The 20,141-nt window shown below is 41.9% G+C and overlaps 1 protein-coding gene and 1 long non-coding RNA gene across 31 annotated transcripts in view, besides 1 other annotated feature; one reads left to right on the forward strand and one right to left on the reverse strand.

The window, feature by feature from the left end:
• ALG9 (ALG9 alpha-1,2-mannosyltransferase) overlaps positions 1-20,141 on the reverse strand; it is a 103,557-nt gene that overhangs the window by 19,946 nt on the left and 63,470 nt on the right. For 3 of the 30 annotated variants that reach the window (NM_001441205.1, NM_001441204.1, NM_001352421.2), the window contains exon 15: positions 8,767-8,829. The exons of 25 other annotated variants lie outside the window; for them this stretch is intronic. In NM_001441205.1, the coding sequence (NP_001428134.1) occupies positions 8,767-8,829 (63 nt within the window). Of the gene's footprint in view, positions 1-470; positions 600-8,766; positions 8,830-17,123; positions 17,346-20,141 lie in introns of all 30 variants that reach the window. 2 more of the 30 variants (NR_147984.2, NM_001352420.2) reach the window with 2 other exon arrangements.
• Positions 6,338-14,715, forward strand: LOC124902756 (uncharacterized). The gene is made up of 2 exons (XR_007062891.1): positions 6,338-8,104; positions 8,807-14,715. It is a non-coding gene; the product is annotated as an uncharacterized LOC124902756 (long non-coding RNA).
• Positions 9,239-9,318: a silencer, noted in NCBI's record as "silent region_3901". NCBI's record gives its function as "represses an Ori minimal core promoter by ATAC-STARR-seq in GM12878 lymphoblastoid cells {active_cell/tissue: GM12878}" and the evidence as "EXISTENCE:reporter gene assay evidence [ECO:0000049][PMID:35858748]".

The raw sequence follows: 20,141 nt of genomic DNA on the forward strand, positions 1-20,141 counted from the left end.
CCCAGGAATAGACTAACAGGATTTATCATTTCCTAGAAAAAGTTGTAGTGATAGTTTTAAATTCTGTATGGAGTATTACTTCCTGACTCTGATTTCTGAGTCTGAAAATCAAAAGTTGGCCTAGTTACTGCCATCCTGAATGAGGTAGCTGAAGGTGCTCCACTGGCAGTCCTTTTCCAAATTCTAAACTTGTAAATGTCATGTCAACGTGGCATTTGTACTGGCAGCCTAACCTTGGGTTTGGCAGACTCCTACAATGCCTGCACACAATGACACTGTGCTTGGCATGCACACCTCTTAGAGATTCTTCCCAACTAGGACGCTGGCAGTGCCCTGTGCTCTGTAAGATTCACTTCACTTCAACAGTGAACTCTATCAAGGGCTTTGATAGAGAAAGGAGGTTTGGAGAAGAGACATGAGACAAAGCAGGGCTCCTATAAATAAAATGAACAGGAAGAGGAAGCACCTACCCCAGTCAAGGAGAAGTTAATGGCCAGGCACGGTGGCTCAGGCCTGTAATCCCAATATTTTGAGAGGCTGAGGTGGGAGGATTGCTTGAGCCCAGGAGTTTGAGCCCAGCCTGGGCAACAAATTGAGACCTGTGTTTACAAAAAATGTTTAAAAATTAGCCTGGCAGGGTGGCACACACCCGCAGTCCCAGCTATTCTGAAGTCTGAGCTGGTAGTATGGCATGAGACCATAAGCCCAGGAGGTTGAGGCTGCAGTGAGCTGTGATCATGCCACTACACTCCAGCCTGGGTGACAGAGTGAGACATTGTCCCAAAAAAAAAAAAGTTACTCTTTTCATCTACACTGCACAAATAAGGTGAAGGGTAAAGGGTAGAACAGAAAGATGCAAAATAGAGCAAACTCCTATAAGCTTTAGTAAAGAAAGTATAAAACTAACAAGTGTAATTTCCATTCTAGTTGACTCTACAATAAAAGCTTCATTAATATAGTCATTGTATATTTCTGGTCAACTCAGTCCTTAGTATAACCTCAGGGTCCAGTGGACCCAATTTTAGTTTTCAACTTTCTTTTTTTTTTTTCCCCCAAGAGACAGGGTCTCACTATTTTGCCCAGGCTGGCCTTGAACTCCTGGGCTCAAGCAATCCTCCTGCCTCGGTCTCCCAAACTGTTGGGATTACAGGCGCAAGCGACCTCGCCTGTCCCAGGTTTTTACTTTCTTTTTGTAGCAATTCCTTACTATTTGGGAGGATTGGTAGTTCATAATTTTATTCTTTTTAGAGTCTTCCAAAGAACAAAGATAAATTATACTTATTTTTATTTATTTATTTTGAGACAGGGTCTCGCTCTGTTGCCCATGCTAGAGTGCAGTGGCATGATCATAGTTCACTGCAGCCTTCACCTCCTGAGCTCAAGCAATCCTCCCACCTCAGCTTCCTGAGTAGCTGGGCTACAGGTGTGCCTGGCTAATTTTTTATCTTTTGTAGAGATGGGGTTTCATTATGTTGTCCAGGCTGGCCTTGAACTCCTGGGCTCGAGCAATCCACCTGCCTCAGCCTCCCAAAGTGTCAGGATTACAGGCATGAGCCACCGTACCCAGCCTATAAAATAACTTAAAAATAGGTTGGACGCGGTGGCTCATGCCTGTAATCCCAGCACTTTGGGAGGCTGAGGCCACCGAGGTCAGGAGTTCAAGACCAGCCTGGCCAAGATGGTGAAACCCCGTCTCTACTAAAAGTACAAAAATAACAGCGCGCCTGTAATCCCAGCTACTCGGGACGCTGAGGTAGGAGAATTGCTTGAACCTGGGGGGTAGAAGTTGCAGTGAGCTGAGACTGTGCCACTGCACTCCAGCCTAGGTGACAGAGGGAGACTCTGTCTCAAAAAAAAAAAAACTTAAAAATATAGAAAACAGAGGGTCAATTGGACTGAGATAGTAAGTGGTGATGACTATTTTCCTGGTAGGCTGATAGATCATGTTCAAAAAAATTTTCTGGTAATTTCAGAAAATGATCTTATTCTGATTCCACTCAGGAGTTGGAAAAAAAAATTTCCTGATCACTAGGTGTGAATAAAAGAGAAAAAAAAAGAATAATAATAAAAAAACTATCTTGGTCTGCACTGGGGATATATTATCATCAAAAACACTAACTAGCAGCCGGGCGCGGTGGCTCACTTGAGGTCAGGAGCTCAAGACCAGCCTGGCCAACATGGTGAAACCCTGTCTCTACTAAAAATACAAAAATTAGCTGGGCATGGTGGCGGGTGCCTTTAATCTCAGCTACTCAGGTGGCTGAGGCAGGAGAATTGAACTTGGAGATGGAGCTTGTAGTAAACCAAGATTGCGCCACTGCACTCCAGCCTGGGTGATGAGGCAAGACTCTGTCTCAAAAACAAAGCAAAACAAAATAAAACACAGACTAGGCAGGTGTTGTGGTATGTTCCTGTAATCCTGGGTACATGAAAGAATTGCTTGGGCCCAGGAGTTCAAGGGCAACCTGGGCAAACACAGCAAAACCGCATTTCTGAAAAATAAAAAAATTTAAAAAATAAGTGGCTGGACTGAAATAGAAGAAGGACTACTATGCATTATTGTTGAGTTCAAAAGGCAAGCTAAAACAAAGGTAAAAAATAAAAGAGATTGGGAGAAAATGCAATATATGTACCAGAAGATTTGCATCTAGACTATATAAACTGTTCCTGCGATCAGTAAGACAATTCCACAGGAAAAAATGACAAAAGATATGATTACAGAAGAGAAATGCAAATGGTTGATAAACATGAAATAATGATCAATCTTACCAGGAATCAGGGAAATGCAAGACTAGACACAATTTTCAATAATCAGGTTTGGAAAAGTTAAAAAGCCTGACAGTCTCAAACACTGATGAGGAATCAGGAAACAGATATTGCCAGTGAAAGTGTAAGCCTGCACAGCCACCTAGAAAGGCAGTTTTAGCAGTACCAATTAAAACAAAAATTATGCAGTCTCTATGATAGAGCAGAGGACTTTTACTTTGTACTATACACCATGTTATTCATTTATTTGCTTGTTTCACAAACAATCTACTTGGTTTTCCATTTGCTATGATTAAAAATTTCAAATATATATGAGTAGATAAATTTATTACTTACAATAATGTTTTAAAACCAGTAGACAAATTTTTAAATAAAGGAAACCTTTGATTTTCAAAAACAAAAAGCAATCAAACAAAAAAATCAATGTGCCTACTATATGTAAGCATTTGTGTGCTGGCTCTGAAGATATATAAGTCTCTCTTCTCAAAGGGCTAATAAGCTAATTGGGTAGAAACAGATTATGAATGATACATCATCATAACTTAGCATATGGTAAATTCTAAACAGCTGACACAGAAGTTCAAAGTGATAATGCAAACATTCAGGCGGGAGGTCAAATGCTGAGGGCTGGGTAGGTAAGTGTATAAGCAGCATTTAATAAACATGTAGCACATCATTTCATTTTATTCATCCAATATTCCAAGGTACGCTAAGCAGGAAAAGCAACTTGTCTAACCATAACCAAATCTACAGGCATCTCAGGTTAAATACTCTGTGCATTCAGCAGCAACTAGAGGTGGGCTGAATAAATCCCAAACTCTCTCATTGCCTACAAAGCCCTAGGAGATCTAGCCCTTGCCTGATTGTTCCACCTCACCTTGTGCAATCTTCCTCCCGGACCTCTACACTCCGGCCACACCAGGTCCTTTTCAGTTCTTCAAAAATACAAGTTCCTCCTACCTTAGAGCCTTTGCATATGCTGTTGCCTCAGCCAGGAACACTCTTCCACCCTGTTTTTCTCATGACTGAGTCCATCTCATTTTTAAAGTCTCAGCTTAAAAGTTACCTCCTTTGGCCAGACACAGTGGCTTACGCCTGTAATCCCAGCACTTTGGGAGGCCAAGGCGGGTGAATCACTTGAGGTCAGGAGTTCGAGACCAGTCTGGCCAACATGGTGAAACCCCTAAAAATACAAAATTAGTTGGCTGTGGTGGCGTGCGCCTGTAATCCCAATTATTTGGGAGGCTGAGGCAGGAGAATCGGTTGAACCCGGGAGGTGGAGGTCGCAGTGAGCCAAGATTGTGCCACTGCACTCCAGCCTGGGTGACAGGGCGAGACTCCGTCTCAGGAAGAAAAAAAAACCTCCTTTGAGAGGTCTTCCAACAATCCTAGGAAGCCCTAGGTTTCCACCTCTCACTTCTTTTCTCTCAGTGCACCTGTGTGTTTCTTCATTCTACAATTCACAATTTGTATTATTTATTTGTTGGTTAACTAGTTTATTATCTGCCCTCCCCCACAAAACACACCCACATTCTAGGGGCCATGTCTGTTTTATCTGCCAACATGTGCCTGGCATATAGTAAATGCTGAAAAACAAATGTTGGATGGATGGAAGGAAGGATGAATGGATGGACTGCTGAAGACAGCGAGAGAGGGATATCACACATATGAGATATGAGTTTAATTCAATTTAGTTTAACTACAAGTGAATGAGCTCCATGTCAAGCAATGAGTTAAATGCCAGGAACACAATGGTGGTTCCTCCTACTCTCAATGAGGAATTCAAAGTCCAAGTGAATTTGTGGTTTGGAATAACCATCTTGCTAAGGACAAACATGGGTCTGACTTAGCTACATCATGAGATCCAAGAAACATCCTGATTTGCCAAGCTCCCTCAGTGCATAATCAATCACAAGAAATTCAGCATCAAATTCTAAATAATGTATTCAGGAAATAAGGAGGCATTTCTAGTTAAGACAGAACACAAAACTACAAAAAAGGTGAGAATTACATAGAAGGAAAAGCTAAGAAGGATCTATTTAACATCAGAGTGTGGCACTGGAAAAAAATCCTTTAGAAGACAAACCTCCTTTTCTCCTGCAGATTCTGGCTGTGATCTTTAGTAGCATTATCTATCTATATCACACAAAGCCACTAACTAATTTCTTCCAGAAGATGGAATCAGAAAGCAGCCAATATATGCTTAGGCCCATTCTCACCTCTAAGCTGGGATGGGAATATATTGTAATTTCTTTTTTTTCTTTTGAGACAGGATCTCACTCTTTCACCTGGGCTGGAGTGTAGTAGTGTGATCCCAGCTCACTGCAGCCTTGACCTCAAGGGTTCAAGTGATCCTCCCACCTTAGCCTCCTGAGTAGTTGGGACTAAGGTGTGTGCCACCATTCCCAGCTAATTTTTTACTTTTTGCAGCGACGGGGTCATACTATGTTGCCCAGACTAGTCTCAAACTCCCGGGCTCAAGCAATCCTCCCACCTTGGCCTCCCAAAGTGCTAGGATTACAGGTATGAGTCACTGCACACGGCCTGTGATTTTCTTTTTAACCAAAAGAACAAGCTGGCTTGAATTCTTCATTTCTAACATTCCAGCTGCTGTTCTAGATTATTTTATCATCAAAAGCTTTAATATACTAAGCATAACTGGGGCATTTTGAATTGTTATATTGTATTGTTATTGAAAAAAGGAAATCAAATTGGTAATTTGCCTTTATAAAAGGAAAGAGCGGGCCAGGCATGGTGGCTCACGCCTGTAATCCCAGCACTTTGGGAGGCCGAGGCGGGCGGATCACAAGGTCAGGAGAGCAAGACCATCCTGGCTAACATGGTGAAACCCCTTCTCTACTAAAAATACAAAAAATTAGCCAGGCATGGTGGCGGGTGCCTGTAGTCCCAGCTACCTGGGAGGCTGAGGCAGGAGAATGGCGTGAACCCGGGAGGCGGAGCTTGCAGTGAGCCGAGATCGCGCCACTGCACTCCAGCCTGGGTGACAGAGTGAGAGTCCAGCTCAAAAAAAAAAAAAAAAAAGGAAAGAGCAGTTGTGCACTGGAATGACATGTGCCTGCACACATTTATACACATGGAAACAAAGATCAGACTGATTCACAGACAACACTAATGCCTATCAAAACTCATACAATAATGTCTGTAATAAAGTGAAATGCCAAAGTACTGCCCTAGGGCAGCACAGGCAGCGTGATTCAGGGAGACATAAATATGTGCCTCTATCATGGAAACTGAAATACTTCCCCTCCCAGTGAGAAAGTCACTCAAGTGATTCAAGGATGAAACAGATCTGGGCAAAGCAATTGCCTGCACAGCATAATTAGCTCACGGCTCAGAATGTTTTCTAATTCAATTACTGGCCCTATCTATCAGGGCTGAGGAGCATTCGGCGGTGGAGATTTAAATCTGCTCTTGCTGACGTCAATGAATGACTGGCTGCCAGTCCCTGATGTCACCAGTTCAGCAGGCACAAATGGAAATGCTGGGTCAATTTTTTATTTTAAAAAGAAAACATCCTAGTATCCAGGTTTTCTTTCTCTTTTAAAAGACAGGATCTTGCTCTGTTGCCCAGGCTGGAGTGCAGTGGCATGATCACAAGTCACTGCAGCCTCGACCTCCTGGGTTCAAGTGATCCTCCCTGATCTGTCTCCAGAGTAATGGGACTACAGGTATGTGCCACCACACCCAGCTAATTTATTATCATTATTATTATTTATAGAGACAGAGTCTCACTATGTTGCCCAGGATGGTCTTAAAGCTTCAAGCAATCCTGTGGCCTCAGCCTCCCAAATAGTGGGACTGCAGGCATGAGCCACCATGCCTGGCCCACATCTTGTCCTGTCTTCCTTCTCCTCTCTTCTCTTCTCCTCTCCTCTCTTTCTGTTTTTCTCTTCTCTCTCTACCTATCTATCTATCCATCCATCCATCCACCCATCCATCCAAGCATTAATATCCCCTGTAAGCCTGTAATCTAAGCCCACTGCCAGTTATCTTTCCAGCCGCAGCTTTTTCAAGCTAGTTTCTTTCTCTCTTGCATTGTAGCTCACCTTTCAGTGAGAGATTTTCTACAACCTTTAGTGCAGAACTTGGCTTTTGCAGCTATCTTCAGTTCTGAAGAGAATCTCAGAATTCCTTCAAGACTTAGTGATAGTCAACCTATAGTTCCATATCAAGCAATTTAAGCACATCTCAAAAAGCTGGTATGGAGCAAAAATGTGACTGTTATTTAATAGTTTTTAACAGGAAATGCGGTGAGAGACATTATTCTAATGGTAACTAATGCAAAGGTGACTTACAACCCTGTTATCCAAAAGAGGAGTTCCATGCTGTATGTTATACTCCACCAGTCCCTTGAGGATGGAATTTTATCTAACTGCTCTATCTCTAGTTTTTAGGAAAGTGCCACAGAAAGTCCTCAATAAATAGTCTGTGAATGAATGAGCGCCTATGCTCTGACTCTTAAACCAGAGCATCTGGTTTACCTCCCACCCTTCTTACAATATTCATCTTCCACAAGGAAAAGGAAATATCAAAAATAATCTAAAGTTTTTTTTCTGTTCTCTTCCTAAGCAATTCAATCCTAAAGCCATTACGTGGGGCAGAGCAAAGCAGAAGTCTAGAGTGGGGAGCTGGGGGGCTGTGGTGGCCCATGGGATGTCAGAGTGCAAGGGGGCATGGAAGGCGTGTTGCTAAAGAAAATATACTGCAAAAGGTCCCATAATTGTATAATGGCAATATACCCCGCAGGTGGCCGTTTACACAGAATTTGCTGAATCAGCATTATCCATGTGACCAGTATGATATTTTACTTTCAGCAGGCATGTTCAATAGACCCTTGATGTTCAATAAATATTCATGATTTTGACTATATGGAGCAACCTCCAAAAATACATTATGTGTAATGACTAGGAAGTTTACTGAGGCACAAACTGGAATCGTGGCATCGTGAGACTGGTATACAGAGTGGATCATTCCACTGATTTGTGGCCTTGGCCAACATCTGGCATAACATCATAACCTTTTGATCAGTCATCTTTAGCAAATATTCAGAGTGAGGAACTGGGGAAAAATGCTATTAGGCAACTGGCCATTTTCTGACCTCAGTCCCATCAAGGTTGCTGGAGAAATGCTCTTCACCAGTCTTTTTTCCCATCTCACAGCTACTTAGATATAAAGGTACTCTATGTCCCATTCATCAGTCCTGTGGAGAGGATGCCAATGTTCGAGAGAGTTTTCGTCCCTGCTCTTCGGACCCTCATTTGGGCTTCTTTTATGTGACAAATAGAAGGATTAGGGGTCACATCAGCAAATGATTCTGGTAAGCTTTACAGAGATGAAATAAACAATGAGTATGTCTTAAAATAATTCAATAATCTTTATTTTACCAAATAAGGGCATCAGAAGCTTCTGAAGAAAACCTTATACCATCTTTTTTCTATTTAGTATAAATCCAGTTTTAAGAATGTGAAATACACAATCAATACATATTTTCTAAGACTCTATAATGTGCTAGGAGTTGTAGAGAATCAACATGTAATGTGGTTCTAACTCTCAAGGAACTTGGAACAAAGACCTCTGATGATGCTGCCTGCTTAGGCTAAGCCAGCTAAAAGCAGTGGTGGTCCTAAAACATGTTACATGCTCTTCAAACCTGAGAGCTTCTATGGCATGGACTTAGAGAACAGATGGTCTGTAAATGGTTTCTTTCTAGAGAACTCATTTCACAACAATGGAAAGCAGACTCTCTAAGCTTCAGAAAAATGAAAAAAGGTTTATTCTTCTTAAAATGTCAGCAGATCTTAATGATTAAGCAGCTGAATAATGGCAAAACACCATGTGTTTTGAAGCCAAATCTGGCCTGGGGTAGCTCTGCCAGACGAAGGGTCTCAAGAAAGTATTCTGGGAGAATATGAGGAGGAAAAGCCAAAAACTGATAGACAGTGAAACAGAAAGTATAAGAGAATAAAAGTTGATAAATACCAAAGTATAGAAACTCTGATCTCTTCTTCCTGTTTCTCAGTATTCTTGGCATCGCTGAGGAAGCTAAGGGCACCACCATGATTGACATACAGGGAAAAAACAAAAAACTCCAATTACTGCTTAGGAGGGAGAACTAATTCTACCCAAAGGAGGGAAGCACCATCTGAAGCATGTCAAACTTGGCCTGCAACCAAATTCTGCCATCGGGTGGAGTCTCTCCTTCCATCTGGGTAATAAGAAGTTGCAGATGGAAAAAGCCTGCTGGACTACTGCATGTACTATATGCCTCTTCTGTAAGAAATCACCTTTAAAAAGAAAAGTTTCAAAGTTTATCCAATTTGGATGGAGAACGGCATTGCAAGATAAGTAGTGGCTTTAAAGCATGTCCATACTTCTTTGACACTCCTCCCATCAACAGGGGAAGTCTACTTCTTTTCCCCTTGAGCATGAGCTATTCAACTGGCTTGCTGCCAACAAACAGAATGAGGAGGAAGTGATACTGTGTGACTTCCAAGGCTAGGTCATAAAAAATTATGCAGGTCTTGAGATGCTTACTCTTGGAAGTCAGCCACCATGCTATAAGGAAGCCCAAGCCACATAAAGAAGACACATAGGTGTTCTGGCTGACAGCCCCAGCTGAGATCTAGCCAAGAGCCAGCATCCAGACATATGAGTGAGAAAGCCACTCAGCTGCCTCCAGCCCCAGCCACTATCTGATGGCTAATGCATTACAGATCCTGAGTAAGAACTGGCCAGTTGAGCCCATCAACTCCCAGAACCACGAGAAGAAACAATAATCAACTATTGTTGTTTTACGCCACTAAGTATGGATGACTGTTACACAGCAATAGCTGGAACAAATGCTTCTGGCTAATTTGCCCTTTACAGTAATCACTCCAGTCGTCTTATCTTCCATAGAGAAATAGTTCTGCTTATGCTGGAGCTAAGGGCTGGCTCCCTTCAACCAGATTACTCTCTACAACATAGGACAAAAATGAATATAAGTGCAATGGACTCTGTAGGCCTCAGAGCTGCTGGGTTCACCTCTTAGAGGGTAAAAGGAGAGCCATGGTCTTAGTAAAGTCCCCAGAACAGCTAAAGTTCAGTGGCCACTGAGAATCCTACGTAGGCACTGAAAGAACATAATAAGCGTATATGATATCAGCACAGTCCCCAACTTGCCCTTTGACTAGAAAAGGCCCCTCTCCTGCCATACCAGCTAAAGGTTCAACATCTAACTCCTTATTTGTATTTACTCTTCATCTATAATTGCCTGGCCAACATGGTGAAACCCTGTCTCTACAAAAAACACAAAAATCAGTTAGGTGTGGTAGTCCGTGCCTGCAGTCCCACCTACTTGGGAGACTGAGATGGGAGGATGGCTTGAGTCCAGGAGGTGGAGGTTGCAGTGAACAGAGATTGTGTCACTGCACTCTAGCCTGGGCAACAGAGCGAGACCCTGTCTTAAAAAGAAAAAAATAGAGAAAAATAAAATCTCACAATCCCCAAACTAAAGGTGAAAGCAGAGCAAGCAAGACAAAAGGGACATATAATGAAGGAGGACAGTGGGTGGAAAGTGGCTGTGCAAAGCACTGACAGGGCCTCCCAACTTGTTTCCGAAGCTACAAACAGGCCCTGTTGCTCATGAAGCCAACTCCAATATCCTGGAGAGGCATTTCCCACCAGACTCCCACAACCAAACATCTCTCAGCACACTTAGATAGGCACCCACCACTGAGCTGGTGATTTATTGCAACACTCTCCCTTCACTCCTCTCTGGGGACTCTCAGAGTAGGCATTACATCTGCCCACTTGTCAGCTATTTCATTCATGTAACAATTATATCATGCTTCAAAGAAAAAAAAATCTTTTATTTTAGAAAGTATGTAATATGAGATGGCCACAGAGTAACAAATGTGTCTGGTCTAAAAAGTGATATTGTCAAATAGTTTAGACTCCGCATCCTAAGAGTTTGATAAACCTTTATAAAATTAGCCAGAGAGACATGGCAAACTCAGGGAATGGAAGTTGCAGTTCTGGTACTAGTTGTGTGAGCAGGGACTAGAACGTGTTGATTAAGATCTTATGCCTGGATCTTCTCTCAAACTAATGGGGTCTGGGGTTTGTAGGCCTCTAATAAGGCAAAGAAGCAGCCAATTAGGAAAAGAAGTGAACGAACATCTGGGCTGTCATTCTCCCAAATGGTCTAACACCACTTAGCCTTATTTAGTAAGTACTTCTCCATCACTCCAACAATAAGGATGTTGCTTATCTTGCAACAATTTCAACAGGCTTCTTCATACATTCACAGACATGTGGAATTCCTAAATTTGCCCCAATCACAAAATTGTCCCAATCATCTTTAGGTTGCAACTCCCTGAAGTGGAAACTCCAATTACATATAACTCACAGTATAATTTTTTTTTGTATTGAGACAGTCTCGCTCTGTCACCAGGCTGGAATGCAGTGGTGCGATCTCGGCTCACTGCAACCTCCACCTCCCGGGTTCAAGTGATTCTCCTGCTTCAGCCTCCCGAGTAGCTGGGACTACAGGCATGCACCACCACGCCCAGCTAATTTTTGTATTTTTAGTAGAGATGGGGTTTCACTATGGCCAGGATGGTCTCAATCTCTTCACCTATGATCCGCTCGCCTTGGCCTCCCAAAGTCCTGGGATTACAGGCATGAGCCACCGTGCCCGGCTGATTCCTTTTTTTTTTTTTTTTTAAACAAACAAACAAACATGCTGGTACTGCCTTCAAACTACCCTGATTGCTTCTCTTTCAGACAGCTGAGGCCCAATCTAGGCCACAATAATAAGAATTGTCAGCAAGTTAAATCAAATAAGTAAACCATGGGCAAATCCACATAGTAAATGGACTATGGAACAAAGAAAATATATCTATGTATCTTCTTTCTCCCATCCTGCTTTTTGGAACAAGTCTCTTTGCTCGGGTCACATTAAAGCAAGATGACCATATATTTCAATTTATCCAGGACAGGACCCCTTTTACTTTCAAAAGACTTCTGATGTGGATGATACATTATAGATTACCTTACATAAAAGCAAATTCAAACCAGCCAAAGAGGTAAATAGAACTTTTTGATGCTGACTAATGGGCCCCTCATCCAACAGGCATTTTATATCTTTCCACTTTTACTCATGATTGCTTCTTGAATTAAATAAGTGGTTCTTCCCTCCTTACCACCAGTACTTATTTAATCCTACTTTTCTTCAGCTCAAGCACCCCCTCCTTCTGGAAGCCTTCTAAGTGTACTCTAATCTCCACAGGTCCCTCCTTTCTTTAAAGTTCTAGCACATGATTTGGTGCCTCTATGGTCTTAACACTATTTTCAAGTTGTTTTCATATGTGTAGGTCTTCCTGCAAAAGTTGTAAGTTATTCAAGGGAAAAGCCTGTGTCTAATCACTTCCTTTATGTGCCTTAAAGAATCTAACTCTAGGCCGGGTGTGGTGGCTCACACCTGTAATCCCAGCACTTTGGGAGGCTGAGGCAGGCGGATCATGAGGTCAGGAGATTGAGACCATCCTGGCTAACATGGTAAAACCCTGTCTCTACTAAAAAATACAAAAAATCAGCCAGGCATGGTGGCACGCGCCTGTAGTCCCAGCTACTCGGGAGGCTGAGGCAGGAGAATCACTTGAACCCAGGAGGCAGAGGTTGCAGTGAGCCAAGGTCATGCCACTGCACTCCAGCCTGGGTGACAGAGCGAGACTCCGTCTCAAAAAATAAAAAATAAAATAAAATAAAAAAGAATCTAACTCTATAACAAGGGCATACCAGATATTCAGTAAATACTTTCTGATCTCCAAACCTGCCTAACCAGCTGACTTAAGAACATACCAGGAAAACTCCAGGTGTCTCCCCACTGCTCACTCCTCTTGCAACACCCTGTACTTTCCTCTTACAACACATAACACATTTTGTAATTACCTATTGATTTGTGTGGCTATTTGTTTAAGGTCAGCCTCACCATTGTATCGTAAGGTCCAAGAGGACAGCGACCTGGTATGTACTGTTATTTATCCCTGTCTACCTATGATTTATCATAGTGCCTGGCAATGTTCAATAAATATTTGCTAACTGGAGATGAGTGATGGGTGGACAGACAGACAATGGAAGAAAGAACAAATGATCTGAGAAAAACCATAAAAAAAGCAGGGTTAGATTTTAGGAACTTAAACATTTGAGAAATTAACCTACTTACATTTCTAAACAAATCATGTGGCTATGTGTCATAGGCCTATTAAAACCTTTTTCTTTTCTCAGAAAGAGCTAGAGAATAGTGAGGTGTGCAGCCCCATCTTATCTAGGGTCTAAGACGTAAATGACCATTATATATGAATGGACCATTATTTCTCATTAATATATAAATTGCTAAAGTACAAAAACCATTGTTTCAAGATGACAGAGGAACTTTAATTGCTCCAGTAAATAAGTGTGAAGGCATTTCAAGATTATGCTCACAAAAGCATTTCATGCATCACCTCAGCTCTGAGGCACACAGGCTCTGACAGTACAGTCTACCTTAATTGGCCCAAAGTCAGCAACATCATATGTCATGGTGCTGACAGACAGAAACTGCTGTGGCAAAATTGGCTGTGGCATCCTGCTGTTTTTGCAGTTAGACCAATATATACTAGAAAATGCTGAGGAAGATAAATGTAAAGAAAATCAGCATAATTCTGGAACCCTAGACAGCCTGCTGATTAATTAAAAGGCTTAACGTTTCTATAATGTTTTAGAATGTAAACGGACTTTCATATATTCAATCTCATTTAATTCTTATAACAATCCCAGAAAATACATAAAATAGTTACTGTTTTACTGATATAGAAATTTTGGAATCAGAATGGTATGAACAGCAAGTGGCCAGGATTAAATTCACAGGTCTGCAAACCTCATGCTGTCTTCACTATACTTTACACATGAACTGTACCTCTTCAGCTCTTTACCCAAATGATTCTTTCCTTCTCAACAGGTGGTTGTGAAAATCATGCCCTGAACACAATTTATGGGAAATGAAAATTCTCTGAAGGCATTCCCCTGTTACCAGGAAGGTTGTTTGAGATCTGCTGTCCCCTCAGAGCTGGGGAACTTTCCAGGCCCAGGTCTCATGTTGTCACAGTTTTCTCAAATAAAAAATGAAGGCACAATAGAGCCCTACCCCCAAATACTATAACAAACAACAAGCCAGGTACCAAAGAACACGTGTGATTCTGAGAACTTCCTACCATCACTGTTGCTTCTATCTCTCCAGCTGTCTCCTATTACTACTGCAGTTCTGGCAATGTCTTGAACACCCATCCATGATCCTACCACCTTTCACTGTCTCCCACTCTCCCAGTGCTTTCCCCCAACTTCCCTCCTTACCAACTTAAGGTCACGGTTACTCATTAGATCACTTCCCTGCAGAAACCTTCGGTTCCCTTGTTCCTTCAGGCTGTGTTGAACTTTCTTAACTAAAGCCCAAGCCCCTACACAAAGATGTGTGGAGAAGGTTCATAGCAGCATTATTCCTAATAGCCAAAAAGTATAAATGATTGAAATGTCCATCAGTTAGTGAAGGATTAAACAATGGAACAGTATTCAGCAATAAAAACAGACAACTACTGATAAATGCTATAACATGAATGAACCTCAAAAACAGGCTGAGTGAAAGAAGCCAGACACTAAACTCCACATATGATTGCACTTATATGAAATGTCCAGAAAAGGCAATCTATAGAAGCAGAGAATAGATTAGCGGGATGCCCGGAGACGGCAGTGGGAATGAGGTATCTTACTGCAGTGATAAAAATGTTTTAAAATTGAACTGTGGCAATGGTTATACAACTTGGTAACATTAGTAATAATCATTTAATTGTATACTTTAAATGGATGAACTGGATATGTAAACTATACTGCAATAAAGTTTAAAAAAAAACACCCCGGTTAAATTTACCTGTTTTGTGCCTCACAGTGAAGCTGTAACTATACAAAAGTGAAGAAGAGAAAAAGCAACTACATGGCCCCGTTTAAGGCTCCAACGGATTCTGGATCCTGTCTTCCAATCACACTATATTTCTGTAGCTTCTGTGTCTCTCGCTCTCCTCAATTATTTCACACCTTCTTTCTCCTCAAATCTCTTATCACCTCATCCCTTAAGCTCCTTTCTCAGCTGATAATCCCACTTCCTACTTCACTGAGAAAGGCAAGGCCATCAGAAGAAAATGTCCAGATTCCTACCATCACACTCCCCAAAATGCAATACTTCAGTATAAATTTAGCAACATTCATGGATAGGAATGACTCAATATTGTCAAGATGTCAATTCCTCCCAATTTGATCTATAGATTAAATAAAATCTCAATCAAAATCCCAGCAAGTTATTTTGTGGATGTTGACAAACTGATTCTAAAGTTTATATGGAGAGGCAAAAGACCCAGAATCCACAAAATAATATTGAAGAAGAACAAGGTGTGCCAGGTGCAGTAGCTCATGCCTGTAATCCCAATACTTTGGGAGGCTGAGGTGGGAGGATCACTTGAGTTCAGGAGTTCGAGACCAGCCTGGCCAACATTGTGAAACTCCATCTCCACTAAAAATACAACAATAGCCAGGCATGGTGGCACGTGCCTGTAATCCCAGTTACTCGGGTGGCTGAGGCAGGAGAATCGCTTGAACCCGGGAGGCAGAGGTTGCAACAAGCCAAGATCACGGCACTGCACTCCAACCTGGGTGACAGAGTAAGACTCCATCTCAGGAAAAAAAAAAAAAAAAGAACAAAGTTGGGGGATTGACACTACCAAACTGCAAGACTTACTATAAAGCTACAATAATCAAGACAGTGTGGTACTGGAGAAAGAAAAGACAAATAGGTCAGTGAAACAGAATAGAGAGCCCAGAAATAGATCCACATAAATACAGTTAACTATAAATCTCTCACAAAGGAACAAAGGCAACACAATAAAAAACAGTCTTTTCAACAAACGGTGCTGGAACAACCATGCATCCTCATGCAAAAAAAATTAATTTAGACACAGATCTTACACACTCCACAAAAATTAACTCAAAACAGGCCACAGACCTAAATGTAAAAAGTAAAAGTATAGTCTGGGCATGGTGGCTCAAGCCTGTAATCTCAGCACTTTGGGAGAGCGAGTCGGGTGGATCACTTGCGGTCAGGAGTTCCAGACCAGCATGGCCAACATGGTGAAACCCCGTCTCTACTAAAAATACCAAAATGAGCTGGGCATGGTGGTGGGTGCCTGTAATCCCAGCTACTCGGGAGGCTGAGGCAGCAGAATCGCTTGAACCTGGGAGGTGGAGGTTGCAGTGAGTCAAGAGTGTGCCACTGCACTCCAGCGTGTGTGACAGAGTAAGACTCCATCTCAAAAAAAAAAAAAAAAAAAGAAACAACAACAACAAAACTGAAAGTATAAAACTCCTAGAAGATAATACAGGAGAAAATCTAAATGAACTCGGGTTTGGCAATGACTTTTTAGATACAACACCAAAGGCATGATTTATGAAAAAAGAATTGAGAAGATGGACTTCATTAAAATAAAATATTTCTGCTCTGTGAAAGACACTGTCAACAGTGAGAAGACAAGCCACAGACTGGGAGAAAATACTTGCAAAAGACATATCAAATAAAGGACTGTTATCCAAAATATACAGGGAACTCTTAAAACTCAACAATAAGACTGGGTGTGGTGGCTCATGCCTGTAATCCGAGCGCTTTCGGGGGCTGAGGCGAGAGAACTACTTGAGCCCAGGAGTTAGAGGTTACAGTAAGCTATGACTACACCACTGTACTCCAGCTTGGGTGACAGAGCGAGACCCTGTCTCAAAAACAAACAAAAAACCCAACACTAAGAAAATGAACAACCGGATTAAAAAATGCCCAAAGACTTAACAAACACCTCACTGAAGAAGATACTCAGATGGCAAATGAGCATATGAAAAGATGCTCTGCATCATATTAGCGAAATGTAAATTAAAACAACGATGAAATACCACTACACACCCATTAGAATGGCCAAAATTCAAAACACTGATAATCCCAAATGGCTGCAAGGATGTGGAGCAACAGGAACTCATTCATTCATTGCTGGTACGAACGCAAAATGATACAGCCACTTTGGAAGACAATCTGGCAGCTTTTTGCAAAACTAAACAGACTCTTACCATACAATCCAGCAATCATACGCCTTGGTATTACCCAAAGGAGTTGAAAATGTATGTCCACACAAAAACCTGCACAGGGATGTTTATAGCAGCTTTATTAATAATTGCTGTTATGGGCTGTTTGTGTCCCCTCAAAATTCATATGTTGAAGTCTAAACACTCACCTATGTGATGGTATTTGGAGGTGGGCCTTTGGAAGGGAATTAGGTCAAAAGAGTGGAGCACTCAACAATGGGATTAATGTCCTTATAAGAAGAGGCTAGAGAGCTAGCTTGTCTTCTTGCAGCCATGTGAGGATACAAGTCAGCTGTCTGCAGCCAGAAAGATGGCCTTTACCAGAACTTGACTATACTGGCATCGTGATCTTGGTCTTCCAGCCTTCAAAACTGTGAGAAGTAAACGTTTGTTGTTTAAGCCACCCAGTTTATGGTCATTTGTTATAGCAGTCTGAACTAAGACCAATGTCAAAACTTGGAAGCAACCAAAGATGTCCTTCAGTAGGTGAATAAACTGTGGCACATCCAGACAATGGAATATTATTCAGAGTTCAAAAGAAATAAGCTATTAAGCCATGAAAAGACTCAGAAGAAACTTAAATGCAGCTTGCTAAGTGAAGAACTCAATATGAAAAGCCTATATGCTGTATGATTCAAGCTATATGACATTCTGGAAAAGGCAAAACTATGAAGACAGTAAAAAGATTAGTGGTTGTCCGGGAATGTAGTGGGGGAGAATAGAGCATGGAAGTAGAACAGAGTTTTGGAGCAGTGAAATTATTTCACATGAAACGGTAATGGGAGACACATGACATTATATGCCATAGAACTGTATAACACCAAGGGTGAACCCTAATGTAAACTGTGGGCTTTGGATGATAATGATGTGTCAATATAGGTTCATCCATTGCTTTTTTGTTGTTGTTGTTGTTGCTGCTGTTTTGAGGCAAGGTCTCGCTCTGTCACCCAGGTTGGAGTTGGAGTGCAGTGGTGTGATCTTGGCTCACTGCGACTTCCGCCTCCCAGGTTCAAGCAATTCTCATGTCTCAGCCTCCTGTGTAGCTGGGACTATAGGTGCTCACCACCATAGCCAGCTAATTTTTTTTGTATTTTTAGTAGAGACAGGGTTTCGCTATGTTAGCCAGGCTGGTTTCGAACTCCTGGCCCCAAGTGATCCACCTGCCTCAGCCTCCCAAAGTGCTGGGATTACAGGTGTGAGCCACCGTGCCTGGCCACACTAAAAATTTTTTTAAAAAAGATAAAAAATCTCTAGTTATCACTTTTCCTGACACCCACCACCAGATATAGCCCTATTTCCCTGCTTCCTTGTATAGCAAAACTCTTTCAAAAGACTTGTCCATATTTGCTACACCAATTCTTCTACTATTCTCACTTCAACCTTTCTAATCAATCTCCAGTCCCTACACCCCCACCCACTTCACCCAAATTGCCTTTACCAGTTGCCAATTCTAATGGACAGTTGTTATTCTTCATTTTACTTGATTTATCAACAGCTTCTGACACAGGTGACCACTCCTTCCTCCTGAAAACATTTTCTTGCCTTAGCTTCGAGGGTACTCTCCTCTCCTGGGTTTCCTACTACTTTACTGATGATTGCCCTCAGTCACCTTTGCTGGTTCCTCCTCTTCTCCCTAATCTCTACACACTGGAGTTTCCCTGGCCTCATCTCGTCCCTAACTTCATTCTCTCCTTTGGTGATCTCATCCAGTCTCATGTTTTTAAAAAATATCATCTAAATGCCAATAGTTCTAAATGAGTCTGAGTCTCTAGCTCAGACTTCCCCCTTGAACTCTAGACTGTATATCTAGCTGCCTGTTCAATAATTCTATTTGCCTGGCAACTGAACAGTTAAGTTTGACTGATATCAAACTTAACAAAGCTTATCTCTCACTCTACCCCTAAAACTGTAAAACCTGTTCTACTTGCAGTCTCTCCCATCTCAGTTAATAGCAAGTTCATTTTTCCAGTTCCTTGGATCAAAATCCCTAGGATCATCTTTGACTCCTTTCTTTCACACCTCAAATACAGTGCATTTCTCTATATCCTCAGCATAACCACCGCTCACTATCTCCATTGCCCTCTCCCTGATCTGAAGAACCCTCATCTCTTGCCTGGCCTATTGCAATAGTGGCTTAACTGGTATCCCTGCTTCTATTCTTACTTACTACCATTTATTCTCAGCACAGAACTGAAAATGATCCTTTTAAAATAAAAGTTATATCAAGTCTCTGCTCAAAACCCTACAGTGGCTCCCCATTTAATTGAGAGTAAAGGCCTTTCAATAGCCTACAAAGCTCTTTATAACCTGCACTCTCACCCCTACTGCACTCTGACCACACCACCTGCTATTCTTCACTCTTGCTCAGCTCCAGCCTCACTGGCCTCCTGTTTCTTCCTTATGCCACAGCCTTTCACTAGCTGTTCCCTCAGATGTCCACATGGTTAATGCCCTTACATCTCTCAAGTCTTTGTTTGAATATCATCTTTTCATTGAGGCCGACTCTGACCACCCTAGCTCAAAGTGTAACCCCCAGCTCTAGTGGAACTCTCAATGCTCCTCTTAACCCAATACATTTTTTCCTTGCATTTATCATCCTCTAATATACTATATAACTTATTTTCTTGTATATTATGTCTTCCCTACCCACCTCCAAACAGTAAGCTTCACTAGGAGAAAGATCTTTGTTTTATTCACTATATGTCCAAATCACCTAGAACATTGCAGGCTCTCAAAAAAATTTGTTAAGGGCCAGGTGTGGTGGCTTACGCCTGTAATCCTAGCACTTTGGGGCCGAGGTCGTGCTACTGCACTCCAGACTGGGAGAAAGAGCGAGACCCCGTCTCAAAAAAAAAATTTTTTGTTAAGGCTGGGCACCATGGGTCATCCCAGCACTTTGGGAGGCTGAGGTGGGCGGATAGCTTGAGCTTACGAGTTTAAAACCAGCTTGGGCAATATGGCAAAACCACGTCTCTACAAAAAATACAAAAATTAGCTGGGAGTGGTGGCAGGTGCCTTGGGAAGCTGAGGTGGGAGGACTGCTTGAGCCCAGGAGGTAGAGGTTACAGTGAGCTGAGATTGTGCCTCTGCATTCCAGCGTCGTGACAGAGTGAGACTATCTCAAAAAAAATTTTTGTTGCTGTTGTTAAGAAGAAGCACTATTTCCC

This window comes from Homo sapiens, chromosome 11 (assembly GCF_000001405.40).
Source record: "Homo sapiens chromosome 11, GRCh38.p14 Primary Assembly".
NCBI lineage: Eukaryota > Metazoa > Chordata > Mammalia > Primates > Hominidae > Homo > Homo sapiens.